The following is an 8,915-nucleotide window of genomic DNA, read 5'->3' as shown; positions in this document are numbered from 1 at the left end:
TTTTTAGTAGAGATGTGGTTTTGCCATGTTGATCATACTGGTCTCAAACTCCTGGACTCAAGTGATCCATCCGCCTTGGCCTCCCAAAGTGCTGGGATTACAGGCATGAGCCACCACGCCCAGCCCAAATTCATATATCTATATATAAAAATTATATGTATGAATCTTATATAATCTGAATTAAGATTATATCTGTCTCATGTTCCCCCCAACACCCTTGTTGTGTATTCAGTCCCTTGCTTGACTTTGCATGTGAACACATTTTGTAATAATCTCCTCTCTTTGCTTAGTTGGGTTTCTGTACCTGTCTTCGTCTTCAGAATTAAAACCCTAGGAGTACAGGACTATGGCTTTCTTACTCACCACTGCAGCTCCGTAACTAAGATAGCATCTGATACATATTTGTTAAGGGAATTGATTAAATATAGACCACTAGGTCCAGTGGAGTCCACAGTCTATTCACTTCATGTAGTTTCCAAGAAACAAAGGTTTCTCAACCTATATTAATGAATGAGATATGGGCCAGGGTATCTGGTCTGGCTGGAGATGGCTTAACTTTGAGTTCACTTGAGAGAATATCAGTGTAAGCAGGAATGCTTTTACTCACTTCAAGAATTTCATGGTGTTTAGGACGAAAAACCACCCTGCTTCTCTGGAGAGACTTGAGGGCTCTATGGCTCCTGTGGGCTCTCAAACTATTGGAAGATGACTACTAAACCTGAGTTTTCAGGTCTCTTAGTTACATTCATTTAAACTTAGACATAGATGGTTTGTCACTGTTTTAAGTTGTTTTTCACTGAAAGGTCAGTCTGAATATAGAGCCTTATTTCATTCAGATCAGAAAAATTGGGTTACTGTGAAATCTGTTTATCTATAATTTTAAGTAAGTACAATTTTATAAAGAAGTTATTCCTAACTTGAGAGGCCTGGAGGATTTATTACAATGTGTATTTCAGGGCCACATCTGCAGAAGTTTTGATACAACATTTCCTTACTAATACCCCTGACAGCACATCTTACCAGGCATCCTGTGTTATTCAGAAGCAGAACGTTTATGCACTACACTTTGGGAGAGAGAAGTGCATGTTATGTTACCATTTAAAGATGCCTGGTTCTTGTGGGGGAAATTGGCAAATGATTTATCTGAACTAATGGCAGAGTGGAATTTTAATACTTTAGAGTTTTCAGGAATCTTAGAGCTGTTTTCATTTGTCTCATACATAGAGCCTGAACCTTGAAGACATTAATTAATTTGTCACAGAAATTACATGGGGTCAAAATTTACATTTCCAACCCATGTCTGTGCTCTTCATTCTAAAGCACAATGGCCTAGAGTCATATTTTAACGTCTAAGTTTTATCTTATTAAAAAATAAAATAAAATAAATAATTGTAAATACATGCATGTATTATATCTACATATACAACTTATATACATTACAATGTTAATTTGAATTACACAGGACTTTGGACATCACTATTAAAGGCCAGGTACAGTTTAGACTGAGATAAGCCCTACCTGTGAGAATTTACTAAGGTCAAAAAGACTCCTTTTAATGGTGACTCAGTGGCACCTAGTCTAAGGACAAAGGCTCCAGTATATATCTTAATCTGAGTTATTACTGAATGTGAGTCATGTGAGGGCTTCTAATGAAAATTTTCCATTGAAAAAAATCAATGTTAATAACTGGAACTCGAGAGCTGTAATGGGCTCTACTGTGTTTTTCTGGCTTAGACTGTGTGCTATAATATGCTAAGAAGAGGAATTGATGACCTGTGAGCTCTGGTCACTTCCTGACCTCATTTGATTCTTTGATCTTTAGTTTTAAAAGGGTGATCAGAGAGGTTGCTTATAATGGAGAAGTTGAACAAAAGGACTGTCAACCTGCAGGCTCACTGGCACAGCCCAAGTTTCACCGGATAAGCATTTCAGTAAAGAGGAATATTGCCAACAGCAATGCTTGCAAGGAAGCTTTGTTCCAGAGAGGATTTTTTTTAAAGAAGCTGCTAGAAAAACTGACACTAGAAGCTAACTAGAGTCACTCTTTCTAGATAACAATGAAATTGCCAGTCTGAAGACATTACTTACCTAGATATAGAAATGGACTTTATTTAAGAACCAACTTTATACATACATAATATACCCAGGCTTGTTGGTCAGGTTGGCTGGCTGGGGAAGAATAAAACCATCTAGAAGATCCACATGATGAGAGGAACCATTCGGGGAGGGCAGACAGATACCTGATGCTGGCCACAGATAGAACCCAGAGATGCTCTGTGATTGAAGTGGTTCTAATACCTGGAAGCTTCAATTTGCTCTTATAACGTGTTCTAAAGCCATTTAATTCAAGACTACCCTTCCTAGTTGGTACCTGTAGATGTAATGCATCTCTGAAACTGGGGTGGTATTATTCTAGGCTCCATCGGACAGAACAACTATCTGGAGGTAGGTTGTGGAGCCTCTGGACTCCACGACACATTTCACAGTGCTGTTTACTCCAAAACACTTGCCTAATTAAACTAATGTAGCTATTGGGTAAGACGAGAAGTAATACACGGACATTCTTAAAGTCTGTTCTCTTTTGCCTTGTGACCTTAAACATTTGAAAGACCAAGATGAACACTATTGAATGGAATTGTGTTTCCATCGTCATAACCAATCTGAAAGCTTAAGTTTTATCTCTCTTTCACTGCATATCCAATCTATTTTATGGGCCGAAGAGCACAATGGGCTCAACTATCCAGGCTTTAGGAGTTATTTTAATCTTTAAAGAGCAATAGGTACAAGTAAAAGTACATACATAAAGAAGGTATTTAATATTTAATTTTTATTCTCATACGCATGAAAAGGGTGTTCCAAAAAAAGATTAGAGAAGTCCATGGCATGTCTTTATGGTTAATCTTACTTTATTTTTTGGTTCATCTAGCATGCTTCTTACAAGTTACTTGTTTTTTGTTTCATGGAAAATTTTTTTTTCTTTTTTTTGTTTTTTGTTTTTTTTTATTATTATACTTTTAAGTTTTAGGGTACATGTGCACATTGTGCAGGTTAGTTACATATGTATACATGTGCCATGCTAGTGCGCTGCACCCACTAATTCGTCATCTAGCATTAGGTATATCTCCCGATGCTATCCCTCCCCCCTACCACAACCCCACAACAGTCCCCAGAGTGTGATATTCCCCTTCTTGTGTCCACGTGATCTCATTTTTCAGTTCCCACCTACGAGTGAGAATATGCGGTGTTTGGTTTTTTGTTCTTGCAATAGTTTACTGAGAATGATGATTTCCAATTTCATCCATGTCCCTACAAAGGACATGAACTCATCATTTTTTATGGCTGCATAGTATTCCATGGTGTATATGTGCCACATTTTCTTAATCCAGTCTATCATTGTTGGACATTTGGGTTGGTTCCAAGTCTTTGCTATTGTGAATAATGCCGCAATAAACATACGGGTGCATGTGTCTTTATAGCAGCATGATTTATAGTCTTTTGGGTATATACCCAGTAATGGGATGGCTGGGTCAAATGGTATTTCCAGTTCTAGATCCCTGAGGAGTCGCCACACTGACTTCCACAGTGGTTGAACTAGTTTACAGTCCCACCAACAGTGTAAAAGTGTTCCTATTTCTCCACATCCTCTCCAGCACCTGTTGTTTCCTGACTTTTTAATGATTGCCATTCTAACTGGTGTGAGATGGTATCTCATTGTGGTTTTGATTTGCATTTCTCTGATGGCCAGTGATGATGAGCATTTTTTCATGTGTTTTTTGGCTGCATAAATGTCTTCTTTTGAGAAGTGTCTGTTCATGTCCTTCGCCCACTTTTTGATGGGGTTGTTTGTTTTTTTCTTGTAAATTTGTTTGAGTTCATTGTAGATTCTGGATGTTAGCCCTTTGTCAGATGAGTAGGTTGCAAAAATTTTCTCCCATGTTGTAGGTTGCCTGTTCACTCTGATGGTAGTTTCTTTTGCTGAGCAGAAGCTCTTTAGTTTAATTAGATCCCATTTGTCAATTTTGTCTTTTGTTGCCATTGCTTTTGGTGTTTTAGACATGAAGTCCTTGCCCATGCCTATGTCCTGAATGGTAATGCCTAGGTTTTCTTCTAGGGTTTTTATGGTTTTAGGTCTAACGTTTAAGTCTTTAATCCATCTTGAATTGATTTTTGTATAAGGTGTAAGGAAGGGATCCAGTTTCAACTTTCTACATATGGCTAGCCAGTTTTCCCAGCACCATTTATTAAATAGGGAATCCTTTCCCCATTGCTTGTTTTTCTCAGGTTTGTCAAAGATCAGATAGTTGTAGATATGTGGCGTTATTTCTGAGGGCTCTGGTCTGTTCCATTGATCTATATCTCTGTTTTGGTACCAGTACCATGCTGTTTTGGTTACTGTAGCCTTGTAGTATAGTTTGAAGTCAGGTAGTGTGATGCCTCCAGCTTTGTTCTTTTGGCTTAGGATTGACTTGGTGATGTGGGCTCTTTTTTGGTTCCATATGAACTTTAAAGTAGTTTTTTCCAATTCTGTGAAGAAAGTCATTGGTAGCTTGATGGGGATGGCATTGAGTCTGTAAATTACCTTGGGCAGTATGGCCATTTTCACGATATTGATTCTTCCTACCCATGAGCATGGAATGTTCTTCCACTTGTTTGTATCCTCTTTTATTTCCTTGAGCAGTGGTTTGTAGTTCTCCTTGAAGAGGTCCTTCACGTCCCTTGTAAGTTGGATTCCTAGGTATTTTATTTTCTTTGAAGCAATTGTGAATGGGAGTTCACTCATGATTTGGCTCTCTGTTTGTCTGTTGTTGGTGTATAAGAACGCTTGTGATTTTTGTACATGGATTTTGTATCCTGAGACTTTGCTGAAGTTGCTTATCAGCTGAAGGAGATTTTGGGCTGAGACAATGGGGTTTTCTAGATATACAATCATGTCGTCTGCAAACAGGGACAATTTGACTTCCTCTTTTCCTAACTGAATACCCTTTATTTCCTTCTCCTGCCTAATTGCCCTGGCCAGAACTTCCAACACTATCTTGAATAGGAGTGGTGAGAGAGGGCATCCCTGTCTTGTGCCAGTTTTCAAAGGGAATGCTTCCAGTTTTTCTCCATTCAGTATGATATTGGCTGTGGGTTTGTCATAGATAGCTCTTATTATTTTGAAATACGTCCCATCAATACCAAATTTATTGAGAGTTTTTAGCATGAAGGGTTGTTGAATTTTGTCAAAGGCTTTTTCTGCATCTATTGAGATAATCATGTGGTTTTTGTCTTTGGCTCTGTTTATGTGCTGGATTACATTTATTGATTTGCGTATATTGAACCAGCCTTGCATCCCAGGGATGAAGCCCACTTGATCATGGTGGATAAGCTTTTTGATGTGCTGCTGGATTCGGTTTGCCAGTATTTTATTGAGGATTTTTGCATCTATGTTCATCAAGGATATTGGTCTAAAATTATCTTTTTTTGTTGTGTCTCTGCCAGGCTTTGGTATCAGAATGATGCTGGCCTCATAAAATGAGTTAGGGAGGATTCCCTCTTTTTCTATTGATTGGAATAGTTTCAGAAGGAATGGTACCAGTTCCTCCTTGTACCTCTGGTAGAATTCAGCTGTGAATCCATCTGGTCCTGGACTCTTTTTGATTGGTAAGCTATTGATTATTGCCACAATTTCAGCTCCTGTTATTGGTCTATTCAGAGATTCAACTTCTTCCTGGTTTAGTCTTGGGAGAGTGTATGTGTCCAGGAATTTATCCATTTCTTCTAGATTTTCTAGTTTATTTGCATAGAGGTGTTTGTAGTATTCTCTGATGGTAGTTTGTATTTCTGTGGGTTTGGTGGTGATATCCCCTTTATCATTTTTTATTGCATCTATTTGATTCTTCTCTCTTTTTTTCTTTATTAGTCTTGCTAGCGGTCTATCAATTTTGTTGATCCTTTCAAAAAACCAGCTCCTGGATTCGTTAATTTTTTGAAGGGTTTTTGTGTCTCTATTTCCTTCAGTTCTGCTCTGATTTTAGTTATTTCTTGCCTTCTGCTAGCTTTTGAATGTGTTTGCTCTTGATTTTCTAGTTCTTTCAGTTGTGATGTTAGGGTGTCAATTTTGGATCTTTCCTGCTTTCTCATGTGGGCATTTAGTGCTATAAATTTCCCTCTACACACTGCTTTGAATGCGTCCCAGAGATTCTGGTATGTTGTGTCTTTGTTCTCGTTGGTTTCAAAGAACATTTTTATTTCTGCCTTCATTTCGTTATGTACCCAGTAGTCATTCAGGAGCAGGTTGTTCAGTTTCCATGTAGTTGAGCGGTTTTGAGTGAGATTCTTAATCCTGAGCTCTAGTTTGATTGCACTGTGGTCTGAGAGATACTTTGTTATAATTTCTGTTCTTTTACATTTGCTGAGGAGAGCTTTACTTCCCAGTATGTCGTCAATTTTGGAATAGGTGTGGTGTGGTGCTGAAAAAAATATATATTCTGTTGATTTTGGGTGGAGAGTTCTGTAGATGTCTATTAGGTCTGCTTGGTGCAGAGCTGAGTTCACTTCCTGGGTATCCTTGTTGACTTTCTGTCTCATTGATCTGTCTAATGTTGACAGTGGGGTGTTAAAGTCTCCCATTATTAATGTGTGGGAGTCTAAGTCTCTTTGTAGGTCACTCAGGACTTGCTTTATGAATCTTGGTGCTCCTGTATTGGGTGCATATATATTTAGGATAGTTAGCTTTTCTTGTTGAATTGATCCCTTTACCATTATGTAATGGCCTTCTTTGTCTCTTTTGACCTTTGTTGGTTTAAAGTCTTTTTTATCAGAGACTAGGATTGCAACCCTGCCTTTTTTTGTTTTCCATTGGCTTGGTAGATCTTCCTCCATCCTTTTATTATGAGCCTATATGTGTCTCTGCACGTGAGATGGGTTTCCTGAATACAGCACACTGATGGGTCTTGACTCTTTATCCAATTTGCCAGTCTGTGTCTTTTAATTGGAGCATTTAGTCCATTTACATTTAAAGTTAATATTGTTATGTGTGAATTTGATCCTGTCATTATGATGTTAGCTTGTTATTTTGCTTGTTAGTTGATGCAGTTTCTTCCTAGTCTCGATGGTCTTTACATTTTGGCATGATTTTGCAGCAGCTGGTACCGATTGTTCCTTTCCATGTTTGGTGCTTCCTTCAGGAGCTCTTGTAAGGCAGGCCTGGTGGTGACAAAATCTCTCAGCATTTGCTTGTTTGTAAAGGATTTTATTTCTCCTTCACTTATGAAGCTTAGTTTGGCTGGATATGAAATTCTGGGTTGAAAATTCTTTTCTTTAAGAGTGTTGAATATTGGCCCCCACTCTCTTCTGGCTTGTAGGGTTTCTGCCGAGAGATCCACTGTTAGTCTGATGGGCTTCCCTTTGAGGGTAACCCGACCTTTCTCTCTGGCTGCCCTTAACATTTTTTCCTTAATTTCAACTTTGGTGAATCTGACAATTATGTGTCTTGGAGTTGCTCTTCTCAAGGAGTATCTTTGTGGCGTTCTCTGTATTTCCTGAATCTGAACATTGGCTTGCCTTGCTAGATTGGGGAAGTTCTCCTAGATAATATCCTGCAGAGTGTTTTCTAACTTGGTTCCATTCTCCCCATTGCTTTCAGGTACACCAATCAGACGTAGATTTGGTCTTTTCACATAGTCCCATATTTCTTGGAGGCTTTGCTCATTTCTTTTTATTCTTTTTTCTCTAGACTTCCCTTCTCTCTTCATTTCATTCATTTCATCTTCCATCGCTGATACCCTTTCTTCCAGTTGATCGCATCGGCTCCTGAGGCTTCTGCATTCTTCACGTAGTTCTCGAGCCTTGGTTTTCGGCTCCATCAGCTCCTTTAAGCACTTCTCTGTATTGGTAATTCTAGTTATACATTCTTCTAAATTTTTTTCAAAGTTTTCAACTTCTTTGTCTTTGGTTTGAATGTCCTCCCGTAGCTCAGAGTAATTTGATCGTCTGAAGCCTTCTTCTCTCAGCTCGTCAAAGTCCTTCTCCATCCAACTTTGTTCCGTTGCTGGTGAGGAACTGCGTTCCTTTGGAGGAGGAGAGGCGCTCTGCTTTTTAGAGTTTCCAGTTTTTCTGTTCTGTTTTTTCCCCATCTTTGTGGTTTTTGTCTACTTTTGGTCTTTGATGATGGTGATGTACAGATGGGTTTTTGGTGTGGATGTCCTTTCTGTTTGTTAGTTTTCCTTCTAACAGAGAGGACCCTCAGCTGCAGGTCTGTTGGAATATCCTGCCGTGTGAGGTGTCAGTGTGCCCCTGCTGGGGGGTGCCTCCCAGTTAGGCTGCTCGGGGGTCAGGGGTCAGGGACTCACTTGAGGAGGCAGTCTGCCCGTTCTCAGATCTCCAGCTGTGTGCTGGGAGAACCACTGCTCTCTTCAAAGATGTCAGACAGGGACATTTAAGTCTGCAGAGGTTACTGCTGTCTTTTTGTTTGTCTGTGTCCCTCCCCCAGAGGTGGAGCCTACAGAGGCAGGCAGGCCTCCTTGAGCTGTGGTGGGCTCCACCCAGTTGGAGTTTCCCGGCTGCTTTGTTTACCTAATCAAGCCTGGGCAATGGCGGGCGCCCCTCCCCCAGCCTTGCTGCCACCTTGCAGTTTGATCTCAGACTGCTGTGCTAGCAATCAGCGAGACTCCGTGGGCGTAGGACCCTCCGAGACAGGTGCGGGATATAATCTCGCGGTGCGCTGTTTTTTAAGCCCGTCGGAAAAGGGCAGTATTTGGGTGGGAGAGACCCAATTTTCCAGGTACCGTCCGTCACCCCTTTCTTAGACTCAGAAAGGGAACTCCCTGACCCCTTGCACTTCCCAGGTGAGGCAATGCCTCGCCCTGCTTCGGCTCACACACGGTGCGCGCACCCACTGACCTGCGCCCACTGTCTGGCACTCCCTAGTGAGA

General features: G+C 40.2%; 1 annotated feature.

Annotated features, from left to right (window-relative positions):
- Positions 8,155-8,654: an enhancer, noted in NCBI's record as "H3K4me1 hESC enhancer chr20:26214685-26215184 (GRCh37/hg19 assembly coordinates)". NCBI's record gives its function as "activates a minimal SCP1, AML or CMV promoter by ChIP-STARR-seq in naive H9 embryonic stem cells {active_cell/tissue: H9 hESC(naive)}" and the evidence as "EXISTENCE:reporter gene assay evidence [ECO:0000049][PMID:30033119]".

The sequence above is a fragment of the Homo sapiens genome, chromosome 20 (assembly GCF_000001405.40).
Source record: "Homo sapiens chromosome 20, GRCh38.p14 Primary Assembly".
Lineage (NCBI taxonomy): Eukaryota > Metazoa > Chordata > Mammalia > Primates > Hominidae > Homo > Homo sapiens.
The sequence above is the reverse complement of the archived record's forward strand: the minus strand, read 5'-3'. Positions and strand labels throughout refer to the sequence as shown.